Below are 22,807 nucleotides of genomic sequence, written 5' to 3'. Positions count from 1 at the left end.
TCTCCTCTTACCTGAGGCCCTCTAAACCCTCTGGTACTAAGCAGTATTTTTAATCAGTATCTTACTGAATACCTTGCTTTAGATGCACATTTCAGTTAACTCACTTATTAACACCTATTATTTCTTGAAACGTTGAGCCTTCAATAAGGAGGTGTGTCCTTGGCAGGATACAGTGAGGAGAAAATTATTAGGTTTATGAAGCCGGAACTATAATCAGTTGCTGTGTAAGTGTCTCACGTTTTTCAGTACAGTTTTTCCCCTGGATTTTTCAAGGTACTTCCTTGAAAATGATTCCCACTGCACATCTCTTAGAATAAAATAAACCTTCAAGATAATTTTTTAAGAAAACTGAGCCCAGTAACTGTTCTTTCCTAAAGGGGAGGGGCAACTAGTGTGAAAATACTAGTAACAATTTCTTTTTCCTGAATGCCCATTTCTATAAATGTTACAAGCACATCTATAGAAACACATTCTCCCTTTCTCTTTTCACTCTCATTCTTAAAACAATCCTAAAACAGACATTATAATCCACGTTGTACTGGGAAAATGGAGTGCTGGCAAGGGCAAACAGCTAGGAAGTGAAGGAGGCGGGATCTGGGCCCCAGCTGCTACCACTCCAGCTTCTCCCTGTTCTGCTCTGCAGACTGCATCTCATGCCACATCTGTGCCATGCAGTTTGGATGTAAATATTAGGAAAAAAAAAAAAATTAGGCATTGTCCTTGCTCTTAAAGAGCTTAGAACCTAACAATCAAATGTCCTTAAGAATATCCTTTTCTGAAAGGAAAGCATTCAAACAACTATAAAAAATGTGAAAAAGCCAATGAACTTCAAAATCAGTTGGCAAAATAGTTCAGTTGCTTCCACCTTGAGCCTGTATTCCCAATCTCTCTTCTCTTCTCGGTTCTTGCTGCCATTGCCTGGGTGAGGTCTCTGGTGCTTATTCTCTCTGCCAGAGTAACAGTGTCAACTGTCCTTGTTTCTAGTATCTTCCCTCTCCATCCTTTCCCCATGGCCTCCAAAATTATCATTGCAACACACAGACAGGATCATGTCCCTCTCCTCTTCAGAAACATGTTCCTTAACTTATTATTAAACTTCCTTTACAATCTTGTTTGAATGTATCTTTCCAGGTTTATTTCAGTAGTGCCCAGACTCCATCATCATACCAAGAGAGCAAGCAAGAAGCACTCAACATTACTAAGTGCCTTCTGACTCTCAGGGTGAGGAGAAAATGGTGTGGGTGGGATCTGAGGAGGTAAGGTGGAGCCTGGAGACACCCTGAGATTGTTCACATCCCCTGACCTTCCCTGTTTACCCCAATCAGTGAACCCTGCAAAGAAGATGCAATTATTGTCTCGCAAAAAGAATTATATTAAATTTGAAAAGCAGTAACATATTAGGAGTTTTCTCTGGGCAAAGAAGGCCTTTTGATATTAGTCTCCATTAGCAAAATTTAAGACAATTTATTGTTCGGTTGACAAAAAGGCTGAACTAAAAGTGCTTAAGCATTTCTTCCTGCTTAGTCCAATAGATGCTGGTATTATTTTAATTGTGTTACACAAGAATAGAAAGTCTACAAATTAGGAAAAATCGTATTTCATCCACAAGAAAGAACTATTGAGAAAGTAGAATGGTGATCTTTTAATTATACTTTGAATATAAGCATTTGGAGGCTGTTCTCTGTGTTGAGGGTTAGGTATTAATTTTGATGCATTATCCTAGGGGTTGTCAAACTTTTTCTGTAAAGGGCCAGATAGTAATACTTGGCTTTTTGGCCAGTGGTCTTCACTGTAACTACTTGTCTCTGCTGTTACAGTACAACCATAGAAAATGTATTTTAAAAAGGAGTGTGGATTTCTTCCAGTAAAGTGTGAAGCTTATTATTTTGTGCTTGTTATGTTTTATTATTTATAAAAACAGAAAGCCGGCCAGATTTGGCCCATGAGCTATAGGTTGCTGATTCCTTCTTTAACCATTAAGTATGTCTGTTTTTATCAGTTTCCTCAGTTTTTATTCTTTGGACTAATTTGAGGATGCTATTCACGTTCTTTCCTTTCTTTTTTCTTTCTTTCTTTTTTTTTTTTTTTTTAAATATGTGCATTGAAGCCACTTCAGTGTGGTAATTCCTAGTGGGTTTGGCTTCTGTGCAGAAGGTAAAGTTGTCAATGTTTGTGTCCACGTGTAAGTGTGCACAGGGTGTGTAGTCACAGAGGAACCTCTAAAGAAGTATTGCAGGGAAGCCTCTGTATAATTGCAGCAACAGACTTTTATGAGACCACTGCTCAGAGCACATTGCTTCTTCAAGGCCCAGCCACAGTCACTTCTGCATATGTCACAGCCCCACAGGTCCATCTCAGCACATGATGTCACATTTGATCTAATGGGGCACCAAAAGAGGCCAGGTTTCTATGGTGAGAGTTGAGTCTGTCATCATCTGAGACTGGAGCCAGCTGTACTATCAAAATGGCTTGATGCACCAACAGAAATCTTAGCTCCCTTGCCTTGAATTGCAGTCAAAGCAAGATGATACCTTTTGTGAATGTTAAAATGCACCAAACAATTAAGGAGATGGTTTTATTCAGGCTCTTGCAATAGAGAGAAGATGTATTAATGAGGAAATCCTTAAAGAAGAGGGAGAAATTCTGGGATTTTATACAGCAGGTAAACAAAGGAGTCAGAAGGAAGGTTGGAAGTAATCTTATATTGGAATATGAGAGGGCAGAGTGCCTTCCTTCTCTCGACTCCCTGGAAACCTTTGTGATATGTCTCTGGAGCAGTCAGCATTAGATTTGCTTCCACTAGCAACTTAGCCTTACTTATCTTTGTATCCTCATTGCCAGATACAGTCATTGCCTGACGTTAGCAAGGCACTTCATAAATGTTTCTTTGACTTTCTGTTTACGTGAGAGGAGTGGATGGTGATGTCTGATCTTTGACTCCTGAGATTTGGAGGAGGAAATGGAGCTCTTACAGTGTGTAGACTCCTTCCCTCTGTCCTACTTAGTCATCATGAGACCCTGGGGAGGTGTGGTTGGTGAGGAGAAGACATAAGTCAGTGCACAATGACTATTTGTTGAATGTCTCTATTTACAAAGGCAGATGTATATGTTTAGAAACTCGTTGTGGACTTTTAGCAAAACAGTTTGGAATTTATGTGTATATTAGGAGTTATTAGTATTTTCTTCTAGTTGCTAACATGTTGGGCCCATCGAAAAAACTTATTTTTTGACATCAAGTATTTATAAGTACAATGAAATTTCAAATATGAAAGTTATAAAATCTCATGTGATTTATTATCTTAGAATTAATTTTGAAGGAGATCCTTGTTACTGTCTGAATTTAGGAAATACCCCTTACTAATTAATGAGCCAATTTTTATTTATAACTCTAGACAATAGATTATAATTCAGACTAGGCCCTTATTATAGGTATGTACACTTCAAGATGTGATGGAATTTCTCTCTACTATGAAAGGTGAGCCTATGAAATTCAAATATATTTTCACTAGCTATGACTACAGTGGCTTCAGCACTTTTAAGACAAATGATTATCTTGACCATAGAATTGTAGTCAGAATCTTAGATGTGAAATTTGGTGTTTGTTTTGTTTCTGCTACTCTCATTAGCTAGTTTATATTTATATACACCCACTTTGAGAAGTAATTGGAAACTCATGGTTCTCAAAAATGTTCTGTGAAAAATATTTTAATTTTACTTTCTGAAACAGCTTATCAGGGTTTCTGTTCATTTCACAAGAATTACTGAAAACACAGGTGGCATCATTTATGTAATAATTCTGTAGATTTTTCTGTCTTAAGCTTAATAATGGTCCTGTGGATATTCAGATTTCAAGAGTAGTTTTTTTTTGGGGGGGTGGTGTAGTATGTTTTCAAATTATAAGTTCTTTATTCTTACATGGAATCATGGCTGTAGCTGCATAACCATGCAGGTGACATTTGTGGCAGCAAAGAGGAATAATATAATTTAAAGTTTTATTACTGTTAAAGAGCAAAGTTTGAAGAGCAATCATGTGACTTTTCTGATTTTATCTGTTAGCAGTTTTTTTGAAAACTAATAAAAGAGCATTATTCTTTTTTTGAATATTTACGATGTGTCATGTACTGTGCGTGGCACTTCACATGGTATTATTATATCTTTTAATGCTACAACAATCCAGTGTGAAATCGTTATTATTATCATCATTATTATATTATACTCTTTTAGAGATGAGAAAAACCTCAAGTAAACTGCATAGATCTCCTTGGCTACTAAGTGGCTAAATTCAGAATTCCAACCCATCTGCCTTTATATTTTGCTGGACAACAGCAAAACGTCTGCTTTCGTGGATATACATGCTGATGAAGGAACACAGACAATAAAGGAATATATAACACACCAAGAAGCAATGAGTGTGATGGGGAAAGATCAAGTGCAGTGGAGGAGGGAGAGTGTTGGAAGCCTGGGGTTAGAAAGGTGAGTCATGGCCCTTTTGATGAGGTGCCCTCTGAGACTGGAGGAAGTGGTAGTACATTTCCAGAAAGGAAACCCAGACATACATTTGCCTTTAGTTTTATTCAAAAGGAAAATTTGTGCTGAGAAGCTCTACCTGCCAAGTGAATTAGTAAGCTACTCAGGTAAACTGGCCAGAGACCTAATTATTAACAGGATCTTGATGTCAGAGGCTTGTTCTGATAAGGAATTCCATTAGGTTCAGCAGTATTTTACAACAAAACTATGTTGAACAACTTTTAGAAAGGTGCTTTTTCAACATCAGAATCACCTCTGTTATTAAGAAAAAAGAAAGGCCACGAATATAAATTGCATAGGTCTCCTTGGCTACTAAGTGGCCAATTCAGAATTCAAACCCATGTTGAATTCCTTGGAATTTTTTTTTTTTCTTCTTAAATGGGCCAGTGAAGGTTATTGTTCTGATAGTCTTAAGTACTCAGATAAGAATAAATTATAGTTATTAACTAGTCATATATAATGTGAGAAATAGACCCTTTAAAAATTCTTTCACATACTTCATTACTTGTAAAATTATACCAGCAGGAATAGAGACGTACCTACAAGATGTATATTTAATTTAGTCTTGGAGTTTTTACATATTACTTAATTCAGCGGTCTTAGAAAATTATTTTTCCCAAAGTGTAGTCATTTGCATAAAACATTTGTTTTCTATAATAATCTCAAATAAAAATTGGCTGGATCTAATATAGCATTACGATAGAAATCTTATTTTGAATATGAAGGTGATAATTCAAGAATATCTTTTGGCTGGCGTGGTGGCTCACGCCTGTAATCCCAGTACTTCGGCAGGCTGAGGTGGATGGATCACTGAGCTTGGGAGTTTAAGACCAGCCTGACCAACATAAAGAAACCCCGTCTTGACTAAAAATACAAAAAAATCAGCTGGGCATGGTGGCATATGCCTGTAATCCCAGCTGCTTGGGAGGCTGAGGCAGGAGAATTGCTTGAACCTGGGAGGTGGAGGTTGCAGTGAGCCGAGATCATGCCATGGCACTCCAGCCTGGGCAACAAGAGTAAAACTCTGTCTCAAAAAAAAGAAAAAAAAATGAATATCTTTTATAATCTGGACTAGTCCAACACTTAATTTTGAAGTATTCAAGTGGAATCTTTTTATGGAATTCTTAGGTGAATTTTCTCTCAATTTGGGGTCTCAGTGTACCAATCTGCTATGAGTTGGAAAACCTTCCTCTTTTACAAAAGGGATAGTTTCCTTCTGAGGTAAATCAGTGGAAGCTAGAGATCTCCACAAATGTTAGAGTTTTGTACTTTGTACTTAATTGACTTAATTAGCATACAGTTGTACATTAGTTGGGTGAGTTTTGTTTACCTCTGGGCCAGAAATACATATTCATCCATTATTTGACACATGTTTCTGGGGCTTTTACTACTTGCGCATTATTATACTAAAAGTAATGTGGTGTACAAAGTTTTTATAAACAAAGGCTTTTGTCTCCAGGAACTTTTATAATGTACTAGATAAGATCAGGTACTCAAATAAGGAAGCAAGAAGTTGATGCTATATAATGTTTGAGTATAGATATGTTCCAAATACAAATAACATATACATATATATGAAGGCATTTCCTCCTTATTTCTCTTGAAATTATGTGGCTTCGTTTTAGTATGAGTCTCATCAGTTACACAATTGGGCAAGTGATTCAACTTTTCCCCCCAAGTATTTAGTCTCTTCCTCTGTAAAATCAGGTGCTGAAGGTTGTTCCACATCCTGGTGAGAAGTGAATGGGATGAGGGAAATACAGTGCCTGCGTAGGGCCGCACACGTAAGAGCTCATTAAAAGTGGATTTCTCATCTTTTGTACATTAGTGAAATAAGCTCCAAAGGAAATTGTAATGATTTTCATTATACAAAATATATATAGTGTCTGAGTGGCTTACCATTGTAGATTTAGATAGTGGTTCTTGTGTCATATAGTGGGCTCAGCTTTTCAGAAAGACAGATTTGAGTTGTCCAAGGCTATGTGCCGTTGGGTGTTACTTAATATCTAGAAACTAATTGCCTGGGTTTAAATTGCAGCTGTGCAACTTTAGGCAACTTAGTTGACCTCTCTGTGCTTGTTTCCTCTTCTGTAGCATGGAGATAGTTGTAATACCTGTCTCAGATAATTATATTTTAAAGATTGGATGATTTAATATGTAAGGCTGTGAGAACAGTGCCTGGCACATTATAAGCTCTGTAAAAGTATTCATTCAATAATATTTTTAGACATGAAAAGAGGGTGGTAACAAGATCCCCTGCTCTTAAGAGCATAATCCATCCCTTTCTCACTGTATTGTAAATTTTTGACCTCACTTAGCCTTTGTAGAAAATAGTTTATATTACTCAGGTTTTTTTTTTTTAAATCATTTTGTAAGACCACTTGATGATTTGACTATACCCTTTTTGCACTTGGTTTTGGAAGCCATCCTCTGCATGTATCTTTTGACTATAGAAACTAAAAACATTTTTACTGTAGCTGCTACTGCATATTCCTTTACTGTCTCCTTATGTCTGAAGATCATATAAATGTCTTTAGCAGGATTTTTCTTACCAACTCACTTGAACTTAGAAACTGAAAGCACAGAGTTAGAAGTGGCATCTCCTGTCAAACATTCCCTAGCGAAAATTTCTTACAGCATTGTCATTCAGTCCCGGAGGCCTGCTATCTCTGAGTGCTGGAGTGTGATTTCCTGTGTCACTTTCCTTTCTGGGACCATAAAATTGGATTCCAGACATTTGTTGGGAAGTTTGCGATATGCTGTTTTGAACATTACTGAACCAATATAATAACCCACTACTTGTGTTTTGGAAGCAGTGTTATCTGTGACAGTTATTGCTTTGCTGATTTACATTTGGAAGAATGTTGAAAAAGAAAAAGGCAGAGCAGTAAAAGGTAGAAGCATGTATGTCCTGGTGATCTTTAGCAGGTAAGACCAGACTGATGATATTAAGCTAGAATTTAGGTTCATCATGGTCACATCCATGCGATAGAAAAATATCACATCACATCTTTAAGCAACACACATTCTGACCTTCTGTAATAAATTGTATATCTCCCTTGATCTTTCTGGAAACACTTCCAGTTTCTACACCTGGAGTGAAGACGCTTGCCAAATGACAAGAATAAATTAGAGAATTAATCCAGTGCCAAAGATAATTTTTGAGAAAAGAGTATCTGTTTCCAAATGGCAAAAGAACATCATTAATATCTTCTCTAGCATTCAAAGACAGGAGACAGATGCTACTAATAAAATATAATAAACTCCTCATGGTTGTTTCCAATAAAACACAAATGATTTTGTAGTTCTATAATTGGAACTGTCAATCTAATTTAGTAGGTTTCTGTTGATAAATTTGATTTCAAAAAGTTGAGATGAGAAACTAATTCACTATTATGTACAATATTTCTTGCTAAGTATAAGGAATATTAGCAAAAACTGTAGTAAAAATTAGGAAGTTGAACTATTAATACCTCTTGGCTTATTGAGATGCAGCAGATCTTTATGTGACTGTCAGTTTAGTGGAAAGAGTGACAGGAATCCCAGGTTGTAACTCCTGCTCTGCCTATCACTAGGTGGCTATTGCAGGGCTGGCTTCATGGACACGCGACCTCTGCAGCTGCCCAGAGCCCTGCACTCAGAAGGGTCCTGCCCTTGGTTTAATCCTCTTCTGTCACTGTCTTCAGAGTTGTAATTTTTGAGCACGGGACTCACATTTTCATTTTGCCCTCAGCCCTACAAATTAGGCAACCACAACTGGCTGTTCACAGCTTACTTCTCTGAATTTCAGAGAAGGCAACCAAAAGATTCTGGAGCTAGGCATCGGGTATACATGGACATAAAGATGGGAACAGTAGACGCCGAGGACTACTAGAGGGAGGAGACGGGGAGGGAGGAAGGAAAGGGTTGAAAAACGACCTATTGGGTCCTGTGCTCACTATTTGGGTGACAGGATCATTTATGCATGTTTATGATGTTAAGGATCAAACCTTAGCATCACACAATATATCTGTGTAACAAACCTGCACATGTATCCCCTGAATCTAAAATAAAACTTGAAGGAAAAGATTCTTGATAGATCTAAGAGTATGAAATTCTGTGAGTCCCAACAAAGGGAAGGACCCAAGAAAGTTTATTAGAAACTGAAAGCTCCTGATCCACCCTCACTTGTTCTCAGTCAGGAGGAATTTTGCCCCCTAGTGGGCATTTAGCAATGTCTGGAGGCATTTTTGATTGTCACAGCTCAGGGAATGTGATGTTGACATCTAGTGGGTAGTAGGATGTTTAATGCTACAAATACACAGAACAGCCCCTGCAACATAGAACTTTTTGGCCCAAAAAGTCAACACTCAACACAGGTGATGTTGATAAACCCTGCCTACCGTTATTATTTGTGTCTCCAACTCTTGGTACCGGGCGTGGGAGGTTACTCAAAAGTTAGTTGAGCCTCTGGCTGTAGCCTGGATCGTAGGTTGTTGTATTTTTTACCACATGAAGACTGAAGAACGAAGCTGGTGAGTAGGAAGTGTAACTTAACATTTGCACGAGATACACTACACAGATGCTCTTCTTAGGGCCTCTACATCTCACACTTACCAAACCAACTGGTGGGCCCCAGACTCTTAAAACCTCTAAAACACAACACACTCACAGCTGGCAGATGACTTTCCAGGACGCCCTGGCACTTGTGATGCGGTCTGTTGGGCTGTTTACCAAGTCATTTAGGTTTGTTTCTAAATCTGTTTATGCCATTGTGCTGGTTGCTGTAATTAGGCAGTAGAATCAACTATTACAGAAATTTAAAGAAAGAAAAATATAAAAAAAGGAGAGCAATTTCAGTGAAAACCTAAGTTGAATGTTTTGGAAAGATTCAATAAAGATGTCATTAAAGAAAACTGCTCTCAAAGTGTGGGCAAGATGGTTTTAAAAGGTTTGTGAAAAAATCATTAAAATTAGATGGATTCTATATTGAATTTGCTTAACTGTCTTAAGTTTTCAGTATTATTTATGGAGATTGTAGACAATACATTTTTTTCTGTGGTTTTTGCAAGAAAAACAATGCTTTAGTCAGCTGATCCAGGCTCAGAAAAAAAAAGCCTTACCTACATCACAAGATGGAAGAATGAATGGCATTTATATATTTTAGGGTGATAAAATTATTTATAAATGTAACCTCAGCTGACTTTCCCTAATAATCAATATTTCAGACAACAGGGCGTCTATTACCTTTATTTTCCAGTGGGAAAAATATCAAATATTCTACTTTTCTCACTTGCAGATCCAAACAACTCTCAGCTCAGTGATGTCTCTGAATAATGTTCCTTATTTAACACTACCTTATATGTTAAGAAGATATTCATTTGATTTCTGACTCCACAAACACCATCATAAGATCTGTCTCTTGCCAGATTCAATACTGAAATGTTTAAGAACTGTGCTTCCTTTTCAGTGCATATGTTTTCTTGAGTTGCCATGTGCCTGTATAGATTAGCGGCATCTGGGATTTTTACCACGTCACATTCTTTTAGAATTGAAGAAGTATAAATATTACCAGAATTGTAGTCAAATAATTTCAAGTTTTTTATAGAAAATATGACAAATAACCTAATGTATAAGGAAACAAAAGTTTCTGCAATTCCATCACTGTTTCTAATAGAAAATTATGAATGAGACATTAATTGTCAGTCTGCCTCTTCTTCAGATGGCTTTTGACTTAGTATTATTTTGTTTTAGGACCCATGTCTCTACATTGGACTTTAGAGCAGAGTTCTGGCCTCTTATCTTGAGCTTGTTAAAAGAAACTGTCGCCAGGCATGATGGCTCATGCCTGTAATCCTAGCACTTTTGGGGAGGCCAAAGCTCGAGGATTGCTTGAGCTCAGGAGTTCAAGACCAGCCTGGGCAACATAGTGAGACCTTGTCTCTGTAAAAGTTTTTTAAAAAATTGGCTGGGTGTGGTGGCACATGCCTGAAGCCCCAGATACTCGGGTGGCTGAAGTGGGACAATTGCTTGAGCCCAGGGAGTCAAGGCTGTAGTGAGCCATGACCATTGCCACTGTACTCCAGCCTAGGTGACAGAATAAGACCCAGTCTCAAAAAACAAAAACAAACAAACAAAAAAACCTTAATGTTCTATTTCCTATTAATAGTCACAATATTATAGATATTATCTAACAGTTTAAAGCCATAAACATTCTATTTGGCTAGTAAAATGTTTTCATCATTTATGATCAAAGATTTCAGGCATTTTTCTTCTTTAATTAGTTTAAGTTAACAATAAATAAATTCAGCCTCCCTTTGGAGGGTTAGAACAGGACAGATAAAGCTAAATTCCTCTTTGCCCATCACATCGATCCCACGCATTTTATACCTCTCTGCTCCACTGCTGGCCATAACAGATTTGGGGAATATTCTTCCAGACACACACACACAAACACACCTAGAGAATTTTTATGGTAATAGTATCATAATGCATGTATTATTAAGTTACTTGTTTGCTTTCTTTCAAGTTGAGTTGATTTGAGTCAGATCTTATATAAATCTAGTCCATCCCTTTAAACTTCTCTGTGATATTCCAGATATGGAATGTCACATTCTGTTTATGTGTTCTTTTATTAATAGGCATTACATTTGGGGGTATCATAAACAGTGCTGTAATGAACATCCTTGTATATGTTTTCTTGAGCACATGTATGTGTGTTTCTCTAGGGTAGATATCTAGAAGTAGAATTGTGCACAACCATTTATCTCATGGTGTTATAGTGTTATTTTAGTTCATTTGTTTCCATGGTAATTTCTTTCTAAGCTTCAAAGTATATTGGCTGGAAGTCATCGAATCACAACCTTTTAGAAATCAAAGCTCAGGTATCATCTTACAATATGAAGGATTAGTTTAATTGTTTCTCCATATTCTTTTTTTTTTTTTTTGGAGTGACGCAGTCTCGCTCTGTCGCCCAGGCTGGAGTGTAGTGGTGAAACCTCTGCTCACAGCGAGCTCCGCCTCCTGGGTTCAAGCCATTCTCCCACCTCAGCCTCTCGAGTAGCTGGGACTACAGGTGCCCACCACCATGTCTGGCTAATGTTGTTTTTGTATTTTCAGTAGAGACGGGGTTTCATCATGTTAGCCAGGATGGTCTCGATCTGTTGACTTCATGATCCGCCTGCCTTGGCCTTCCAAAGTGCTGGGATTACAGGCATGAGCCACTGTGCCCAGCCAATTGTTTCTCCATACTCTTAACATTTGGTATCTTGACCCTGGAGCTTCCTGTCATCACCACCACCCTGCTGCTTTTTATGCCTTAGTAAAATCTTTTTGGCTTCTCTGTTCTACTTTTATTAACAGAATTTCAGATAAGAGAATGTTGTTATAAGGAATCATTTTAGCAGGTGTGTTACTATATTTAGTCTAAAATTTTAAAAAATCTGGATAGGTTTTTTAAAAAAAATCCTTAAATGTTTTGAGATGCTGATTAGTTCAGAATTATACATATGTTGGTTTAAACTAGTTGAATCTTTTGATGCTGTTTAATTACCTCAGACTCTACCTCAGAAGTAGAAAGTGCTTATATTTTAAATCTGGGTTTTCCCGTAAAACCCATTGTATATTATAAAAGTAATATAGATAAGGCGTTTTTCCATGTATGGAATCTTTAAGGCTGGTAAACGATATCTTCCTTCTTTGAATAGTGTTTCTTCCTTTGAATAATTATGCTACCACTCATATTTAATGGCTTCTATGTGTGAGGTATTGTGCCATATTTTTTTCTTTTAATTCTTACAGCAAGCCAAATAACTAAAATGTGAACTATTATCATTTTATAGTTGTAAAAATTGATAGAGAAGTTAACAATCTTGCCCAAGTTTACCCTGTTAGGAAATAGAAGAACTAAGAATTCAAAACAAAGCTTATCTTATTAGAACAGTATACACTCTTCAATGTACTATATAAGGATACCCTTTTCCATCATCATTTAAAAACTATGTGAGTCTAGTTCTGGGATTATGCTTAATTTTAAAATAGTAATGACCTTTTTTTAAAAAAAAGTTTTAAAGTTGTTTTCAGCAGCAATTGTAAATAAAATAGTTTGGTGGACAGTCAATTAATTTTGTGTGGCTTTTTTTTGGATAGCAAAAAAGAACTTATGAAGTTTTAGAATATTTATACTATTCTTGAACTATTTACTGATTCTTCTTTCATATACTTACTAGACCGTGTGCTTAAAATTTTGAATCTTTAAAAGTAATGCAAGTTTTTTATAGAAAATATGACAAATAACCTAATGTATAAGGAAACAAAAGTTTCTGCAATTCCATCACTGTTTCTAATAGAAAATTATGAATGAGTTCCCTTCTCGCAGCATCTATGTGCCCACTTCACATTGGGCACTTCTCTCAGCCACAGAGCAAAGGTGGGAGGGGCTCATTAGTTTCAAGAAATTCTTATACTGGGTCAACTTTAGTAAGAAAGAAAGAAACGAAAGTTGAACACACATGACTGTTAGCTAATTAAAAGATGTGGCTCATCTTCTTTATAAATAAATAAACTGATTAGTGACCCATTGCTGGAAACTGGAAGAATCAGAAGTAAGTGTGCATCTGCTAGCATTACAAATACTCAAATGGGAATTTCTTTATATTATTAATGATTAAATTTATGAAGGAATTAAAAATATGATCTTGGCAGCAGAGAGTATGAATTTGTTATGTGTATTTGAGATCTGTCTAGCCGACACTGTAGACATGGGTTTATTCTTGTAAACCACTTTTTCTCCAGAGAGACTTGAGTGAACAGGTGGGATTGCTTCCATTGATAGGAGGATAAGGGAAGTGAGTACAATGTTTATATCTAACTGTACTTGCTTCCTGCACTTCTGATATGGAGACCTTCACCTAAATCTTTACTACTGTTATTGTCTTAATACCTCTTTTTCTTTGCTTAGACTATTAGAAAGAAATTTTACCTGACTCTTAGAATTTATTCATTATTTTGTTACTATATTTTCATTTTAACATAATTTTCTTACTAATAAGCTTACATTTAATGAACATAAACTATGTGCCAGTTATGGTGGCAAATGCTTTACATGCTTTGTTTTGTTTAATCCTTACCACATCTCTTTGATAGAGATTCATATTATTGACTGTTTTCTGGAGGAGAAGTGGAGGCTAAGGAAAGAAAAATAAAATTAACCAAAATGTTACAGCTGATAGAAGACAGAGGCAAATCTCTTGCCCAGATATACCTGAGATACAAAGTCAAGTATTCTTGCCACTCTGTTACAGCTTATACATTTCAAAATTTCTTTTTGGAAAAAAATAATATTGTATTCTTATGTTTTCCCAGTGAGCTCCTGTAAACATTTAGGTTTCATTTTAATCCTGCGTTATTAATTTCAATTTTGTATTTTGCCTAAGTATTAGCTGACTGTATGGGGTTATTAATTTATACTCATATGGTGGGAAGTTGAGTATGTTTAGACTTAAAACATTCATGTACTGTTTTTCTTTTTCAAATTTTAACCCTGTTTGATTGAAATTATTAAATCATCTAGAAATGTGATTCTCAACCTTGGCTGATCATTGGAAGAAGCAAAAACTGTGAAATCAGATTCTCTGAGGTAGGGCCTTACGTTGGAAGCTTCTTAATTATACACATATGCAGCCAAGGTTGAGAACCACGGACTTAAAATAGCCTTTGGTATCCACGGGGGCTTGATTCCAGGATACCCCTCAGATACCAAAATCTGTGATTGCTCAAGTCTCTGATATAAAATCGTATAGCCTTTTGGTGGCACACTGCCACTTAGTGGATTTTAGAGCAGTGGTTCCTAATTAGCATGCATCTGAATCAGTGGCAAGAGACCCTATTAAAACATAGATTACTGGGCTTCATGCACAGAACCCTGAATCAGTAGGTCTAACGGGAGGCCTAAGAATTTGCATTTCTAGCAAGTTTCAGGTGATGCCAGTGCTGCTTTTTTGGACTGCCCTTTGAGAACCACTTCAGATTTAGGTATCACTCTTTGAGAACCACTGATTTAGGATCTTACTTTCTGAGTTGGTCTCTTAAACTTCCTTTTAGTTTAAGTGATCACCATACTCCACTACCCACCAGATACACACCCACATACCCTTTGTAAGCTATCATTAAGCATTACTAGGAGCCTCCAGATGCCTGCACTAATACTAAAGGGTAGTTGTACCTCTGGATGAGGGATTTGTTGTGGCTCACCTGGGGACACTTCAAATGAACTTCATTCTTCCCTTCCTCTATTCTGTGAAGTATAAAGTACACAGATTAGTTTAGAGGTCTCTTCATACTGTAGCTACAGGCCCCTTTTTCTTTAACTCTTCAATAATTTTGAAAAATCTCAAAAGTTTAATGTTTTCACCCCTAATTTCTCTTGCTAATTTGTTTCTAGCAAAAATGTGTCTTTGTCAGCAGTGCTGGTAAGTGATTACAGATAAGGTAGGGTTAGGCAGTACCGATGACCCTCCAACAACATGGGTTTGAACTTACAGGTGGATTTTCTTCCCCCGCCACCTCTGACACAGCAAGACCAACCCCTCCTCTGCCTCCTCTTCCTCATCCTACTCAGTGTGAAGACAATAAGGATAAAGACCTGTACGATAATCCCTCTTCTACTCATTGAATAGAAAATATATTTTTCTCTCTTATGATTTTCTTAAAAACTTTTTCTTTTTTCTAGCTTACTTTATTGTAAGAATACAGTATATAGTACATATGACTTAAAAATATATATTAATCAACTGTTTGTGTTATTGATAAGGCTCCCAGTTAACAGTGGGCTATTCGTAGTTAAGCTTTTGGGGAGCCAAAAGTGTTTAAGGTGCCATCTTGAAAACCAGAGGCTAGTAACATGATCTTCGACATTTTAGCCTCTAGAACTGTGAAAAAAAAAAAAAAATCTGTCCTTTACTCATTGCCCAGTCTGTGCTACAGTCATTTTTTGGTATCCATGGGGGCTTGATTCCAGGATACGCCTCAGATACCAAAATCTGTGATTGCTCAAGTCTCTGATATAAAATGGTACAGTGGCCGGGTATGGTGGCTCATGCCTGTAACACCAGCACTTTGGGAGGCTGAGGTGGGTGGATCACCTGAGGTCAGGAGTTTGAGACCAGCCTGTCTAACATGGTGAAATCCTGTCTCTACTAAAAATACAAAATTATCCAGGCATGGTGGCACATTCCTGTAATCGCAGCTACTTGGGAGGTTGAGGCAGGGGAATTGCTTGAAGCCAGGACATGGAGGTTGCAGTGAGCTGAGATTGCACCATTGCACTCCAGCCTGGGCAACAAGAGTGAAACTCCATCTCAAATAAAATAAAATAAAATTGTATAGTATTTGCATATAACCTATGTACATCTTCCCATATACTTGAAATAATCTCTGGATTACTTATAAAACCGAATACAGTGTAAATGTTATGCAAATAGTTGTTATACTATCTTTTTTTAAATTTGTATTTTGTATTTTTATTTTTTGTGTTTTTTGGGAGGAATTTTTTGTTTTGTTTTGTTTTTGAGATGGAGTTTTGCTCTCATTGCCCAGGCTGGAGTGCAATGGCGCACTCTCGGCTCACTGCAACCTCTGCCTCCTGGGTTCTAGCGATTCTCCTTCCTCAGCCTCCCAAGTAGCTGAGATTACCGGCGCCCGTCACCACGCCCAGCTAATTTAAACTTTCTGTGCTTCGGTGTCCTCATCTACAGAAAGGGAATAATACTCCCATTTTGTAGAATTTTTGTGTGTGGTATTATATGAGAGAATGAGAAAAAATGTCTGGTACTTTGTAATAAATTAAAAATTCAATACATTTCTAAATGTATTGAAAAAAAAAACCCACGATGATACCTCTTGAGTGTTTCTTCTCCTTGGAGATGACTTGCTTTTTTATAGAACAGGGGTTAAGGCATATTAGGGGCCTGGCATGTCATTAGTCCCTTCAGTAATACACGTTGATAGGGAACCAACAGATTTAGCTACCCCACGATATAGCATATCCAAGGCTTAGATTTATAGATTCAAGAACATTTAAAAATATTTGTCTATGGGGCACCTCTGACGGTTGAGTTTTGTTATTGCCATCAGCGCCCACTCACTTTTTGGTTAAGTGTTGTTTTTGTCTCTCCTCTTCCTTGGTCCTTGGAGATAATCGTTATAATTTTAATAAGCTAGCACTGCATTAAAAATGATATGCATTGAAATTTAAGATTCTAGTTGTTAAATAGGGTAATTCATATACTATTCTTTTTGAAGTGGAAGTTGAGGCTAGCATAATTCATAAACTCCTTCTCAATAGGTATTGCTTTTTAAAAAATTAACTTTATTCCTGATTATATAACTGTTTTAATTTACATAGTTGTGTTGGGTGAACTGTATAAATGTCCATATTTACAGGAGTGGTTCCCAAACATCTCTCCCTGTCCCAGTCCATTATGATGGCATTATTATTCACCAGGGGAGAGGGTGGTTGTGGAGCACAGAGCAGGGCACTGAGCCAGTGACCAATACGCCTAGCGTGAGGGCTCCTTTCCAGTGTACAAATCATGGATGTAAATTATTAACCCCTAGTTTGCTTTTTTTGGCTAACAAAATATCATTATGTCACTGGCTGTCAAGGAGAGTGAAAAGCAGCTTTATGAAGTTCCTTCTCCCATTTTTTTTTTTTAGGGGAATATACACTATACTCAGCCATACCCTAGAAATCAGAGCCCCATACATGCTAGGCATTTTTGTAACCTTAGCCTATGCCATCATCCATATTAATGCCTTTTAAAACTTCCTCTGTGTCTTTACCTTCCTCAGTGGACTTTGAACCCTTCACGGGGATGGATTGTGTCATATTATTCTCAGAGTCTCAAGGACCTAAGAGAGTTCCTAGCTCATGACATGTGCTGAGTAGTTTTGCTGCATGAAAGAATTTGAATTGAAGATCATTTGTTCCTTTTTAAAAGACTTTTAGAGGAAATTCCATGACCTCATTCATTCATTTCATGTTTAATAGTGCATATTGCTTACAGATTTTATTTATTTTGTTGCTTTCTGAGCCCATCTTTCAGTCTGTTTTCAGTTGTGATAGGCAATTCATTCATTATTCTTTGTATTTGGGATCAAGGCATTAGAGAGATGTGTAATACAGACTTTGGAGTCAAACAGAGCTGGGTGTGAATTGGGACTTTGCCACTTTTTAAATGTTGTTGTTGGATACATTACTTAACTTCACTATTGTCTCTTCATTTGTAAAATGAGTATGAAAAAGTACCCACTATAGGATAATTATGAGGACTGAGTGAGGCAGTGCACACAAAGTTCTTAGGCTGGCGCATAATAAGTGCCCAATACAACAATTTTTTATTGTAGTTGACGTTTAGATAGTTGGTTTTCAATAAGCATGTTTTTCTTAAACCTGATTATTTAAAGTCATCCAATGATTCATTTGTTTTCCTTAATTTCAGTTGTTAGTTGGAGAAATGTTTACAGCCTAGTGAAAATGTGTGCGGTAGACCAGTAAGATCACCTACTTAATAAAATCATCTATTTGCTAGGTTAAATTTTGCTCTGTATTATTAATTATGGAAATTGATTTTCTTGCTTTGAAACTTTATTATGTTTACCCAGTTATTTATCCTAGTGAAATAAATTATCAACGAAAATGCTGCTTCTAAAATTTTCATTGGGATGATTGATAACTTAGAAATGTCATATTTATTGAAGAAATAGAATTATTTTTATTCAGAACAAATTCACTTTGTGATTATGCACATTTAATTTTATTTATAGACTTTTACATCCCAGTGGTGCTAAGTGAAGTGAATTTTGCAAGATCATAGTTTCAGTGCCTTGAATGTCATTAAGTCCCAAGAATAAAGAGTGCTGACTTAGATGTCAGAAGACTTGCATTCTCATTCTGATTCCCTCAGTTCTTAGTCTGTGACCTTGGGCAAGTCATTTAACTACCAAGTTTCATTTTCTTTATCTTTTCCTGCCTTGTCTACCTCACAGAGTCATTGGGAGAGTGAAATGAAAAAATATTTAAGAATGGTGAAGACTGTGGAAATTAAAGATATTATTTTTGGTGTAAGGCAATTTTTAGAAAAGATAACAGCATGTAGGCTAAGACAGTGAAAATACATCCATTCACCTGACTTTTTATTCCAAATCAATATCAGAAATATTCAAGAAGTGTCTTTAATGTCTTTTTTATAGCTCACTTTGAAAGAAAATTTACAAATTACAGGGTGGCTTGTTATTTGTGTTCCCCTCTCCAGTATGTGCTGCCAGTTTGGATTTTGGCAATGCAGTTTTTTGTTGTCGTTAAGGCCCACTTTGAGTGAATGCTAACATCAGCAGATAGAGTTGAGGAAACTTTCTGAAAACAGCTAAACATACCAGTGCTTATCCATTGAGTGTGTGAGTCAGGAGACTCCTGTTTGCTTGGTCATGTTGATGTTTACATATGCTAAAATAATTTCTCCTGAGTGTCCATGCCCTCTCTTATCATTTCTCCTCTTGGTGAGGACCTGGAGCTTTTGGACATTGGGGAATGCATTGCAGCCTGTGTGTGGCACTCATTGGCCGGCCAGCTAGCCTTTTTTAGTGTTTACTGTTCCACTGGGATTAAGTAGTGAGTGGGGCTTCATGTAATAAATTGTGTCCCCTACAAATTCATATGTTGAAGTCCTAACCCCCAGTTCCTTATAATGTGACTACATTTGGAGATAGAGCCTTTAGAGATGATTAAGGTTAAATGAGGTCATATGAGTAAACGCTAATCACTATAACTGCGATTCTTATAAGAAGAGGAAGAGGCACCAGGGATTTGCACACACAGAGGAAAGAACATGTCGGGATACTGCGGGAAGGTGGCTATCTGCAAGCCAAGGAGAGAGAGGCCTCCAGAAAAACCAAACCTGCCAATGCCATGATCTTGGACTTTGAGCCTCTAGAACTGTGAGAAAGCAAATTTCTGTTTAAGCCACCCAGTCTGTGGTACTTTGCTATAGCAGCCCTGGCAAACCATTACATGGAGATCCCAGGTGCTTGGCACTACCAGGTGTATGTGTCGGTCATTAGGACTGTGAAAAGCACCTTAAAAGACCTGATGACCTTAATGTAAATTGAGTTTCAGTTTAAATTTAGTAGAGGGTAGAGGTTCACAGATTATATAGCCTGTTACAGCCTGTAAGTTTTTGGGTTTTGTTGCTGTTGTTGTTGTTTTTTAATGTAGAGCTAATGGTTTATTAGTCCATTTTCATGCTGCTGATAAAGACATACCTGAGATTGGGCAATCTACAAAAGAAAGATGTTTAATAGACTTACAGTACCACATAGCTGGGGAAGCCTCCCAATCATGGCAGAAGGCAAGGAGGGTAAGTCATGGCTTACATGGATGGCAGCAGGCAAAGAGAGCTTGTGCAGGGGAGCTCCCATTTTTAAAACCGTCAGATCTCATGAGACTTATTTATCGGGAGAAACAGGCCCCAATATTTCAGTGTAGGTTCTTTCTATTTTCCATAAGTGCCAGCTGGCTGAGAAATAAAGAGAAAGAGTACAAAGAGAGGAATTTTACAGCTGGGCCTCCAGGGGTGACATCACATATTGGTAGGACCGTGATGCCCACCTGAGCCTTAAAGCCAGCAAGTTTTATTAAGGATTTCAAAAGGGGAGGGTGTACAAGAACAGGGATTAGTTCACAAAGATCACATGCTTCAAAGGGCAAAAAGGAGAACAAAGATCACATGCTTCTGAGGAAACAGCAAAGGGCAAAACCAGAAACTCCTGATAAGGGTCCAAAAAAGATCACAAGACAAAGGGCAAATGCAAAGATCACAAGGCAAAGGGCAAAAGCAGAATTACTGATAATGGTCTATGTTCAGCGGTGCACGTATTGTCTTGATAAACAAACAACAGAAAACAGGGTTTGAGAGCAGAGAACTGGTCTGACCTCAAATTTACCAGGGCAGGTTTTTTTCCCACCCTAATTAGCCTGAGGGTATTGCAGGAGACCAGGGCATATTTCAGTCCTTATCTCAACTGCATAAGACAGACACTCCCAGAGCGGCTGTTTGTAGACCTCCCCCCATGAATGCATTCCTTCTCCAGGGTATTAATTATTAATATTCCTTGCTAAGAAAAGAATTTAGCGATATCTTCCATACTTGCACGTCCATTTATAGGCTCTCTGCAAGAAGAAAAATATGGCTCTTTTTGCCTGACCCCGCGGGCAGTCAGACCTTATGGTTGTCTTCCCTTGTTCCCTAAAATCGCTGTTATTCTGTTCTTTTTCAAGGTGCACTGATTTCATATTGTTCAAACACACATGTTTTACAATCAATTTGTACAGTTAACACAATTATCATAGTGGCCCTGAGGTGACGTACATCCTCAGCTTATGAAGATGACAGGATTAAGAGATTAAAGTAAGACAGGCCTAAGAAATTATGAAAGTATTATTTGGGAACTGGTAAGTGTCCATGAAATCTTCACAATTTATGTTCCTCTGCTGCGGCTCCAGCTGGTCCCTCCATTCGGGGTCCCTAACTTCCTGCAACACTTATTTACTCTCAGGAGAACAGCATGGGAAAGACCTGCCCACATGATTCAGTGCTCTCTCACCAGGTCTCTCCTACAACATGTGGGAATTCAAGATGAGATTTGGGTGGGGACACAGCCAAGCCATATCATTCTGCCCCTGGCCCCTCCAAAATCTCATATCCTCACATTTCACAACCAATCATGCTTTCCCAACAGTCCTCCAAAGTCTTAACTCATCTCAGCATTAACTCAAAAGTCTACAGTCCAAAGTCTCATCCTAGACAAAACAAGTTCCTTCTGCCTATGAGCCTGTAAAATCAAAAGCAAGTTAGTTACTTCCTAGATACAATGGGTGTACAGGCATTGGGTAAATACAGCCATTCCAAACGGGAGAAATTGGCCAAAACAAAGGGGCTACAGGTCTCACACAAGTCTGAAATGCAGTGAGACAGCCAAATATTTAAAGCTCCAAAATGATCTCCTTTGACTCCATGTCTCACATCCAGGTCATGCTGATGCAAAAGGTGGGTTCCCACAGCCTTGGGCAGCTCCACCCTTGTGACAGACTGTTTTATTCCTCACCCCCTTCCCACCCTTTTCCCTCAAGTCCCCAAAGTCCATTGTTTCATTCTTATGCCTTTGCATCCTCATAATTTAGCTCCCACTTATGTGTGACAGCATACGATGTTTGGTTTTCCATTCCTGAATATTTATTTCACATAGAATAATAGTTTCCAGTCTCCTGCAGGTTGCTGTGAATGCCACTAATTTATTCCTTTTTATGGCTGAGTAGTATTCCATTGTATACATATATATATACATACCACAATTTCTTTATCCACTCGCTGATTGATGGGTGTTAGGGTTGGTTCCACATTTTTGCAGTTGCTAATTGTGCTGCTGTAAATGTGCGTGTGCAAGTATCTTTTTTGTATAATAACTTCTTTTCTTCTGGGTATATATCCAGTAGCGGGATTGTTGGATCAAATGATAGTTTTACTTTTAGTTCTTTAAGGAATCTCCACACGGCTTTCCATAGTGGTTGTACTAGATTACATTCCGACCAGCAGTGGTGAAGTGTTCCCTGTTCACTGCATCCCCATCAACATCTACTATTTTTTAATTTTTTGATTATGGCAATTCTTTTTTTTCGAGATGGAGTCTCGCTCTGTCACCCAGGCTGGAGTGCAGTGGTGCGATCTCGGCTCACCGCAAACTCCGCCTCCCAGGTTCTCGCCATTCTCCTGACTCAGCCTCCCAAGTAACTGGGACTACAAGCACCCGCCACCATGCCCGGATAATTTTTTGTATTTTTTAGTAGAGATGGGGTTTCACCATGTTAGCCAGGATGGTCTCGATCTCTTGACCTCGTGATCTGCCTGCCTCGGCCTCCCAAAGTGCTGAGATTACAGGCGTGAGCCATTATGCCTGGCCTGATTATGGCAATTCTTGCAGGAGTAAGGTGGTATCACACTATGGTTTTGATTTGCATTTCCCTCATCATTAGTAATGTTGAGCATTTTTTTCATATGTGTGTTGGCCATTTGTAGATCTTCTTTTGAGAATTGTCTTAGGTTTAAGTCCTTAATCCATCTTGAGTTGATTTTTGTATAAGGTGAGAGATGAGGATCCAGTTTCATTCTCTTACACATGGCTAGCCAATTATTTCAGGACCATTTGTTGAAAATGGTGTCCTTTCCCCACTTTATGTTTTTGTTTGCTT

General features: G+C 37.7%; 1 protein-coding gene across 8 annotated transcripts in view, besides 1 other annotated feature; it reads left to right on the top strand.

Moving 5' to 3' along the window:
- SLC2A13 (solute carrier family 2 member 13) overlaps nt 1-22,807 on the top strand; it is a 351,057-nt gene that overhangs the window by 86,015 nt on the left and 242,235 nt on the right. The window lies entirely within an intron of this gene.
- Nucleotides 8,642-8,761: a silencer, noted in NCBI's record as "silent region_4349". NCBI's record gives its function as "represses an Ori minimal core promoter by ATAC-STARR-seq in GM12878 lymphoblastoid cells {active_cell/tissue: GM12878}" and the evidence as "EXISTENCE:reporter gene assay evidence [ECO:0000049][PMID:35858748]".

The sequence above is a fragment of the Homo sapiens genome, chromosome 12 (genome assembly GCF_000001405.40).
Source record: "Homo sapiens chromosome 12, GRCh38.p14 Primary Assembly".
In the NCBI taxonomy this organism is placed as follows: domain Eukaryota; kingdom Metazoa; phylum Chordata; class Mammalia; order Primates; family Hominidae; genus Homo; species Homo sapiens.
This window is presented reverse-complemented; position numbering and strand designations above follow the sequence as displayed.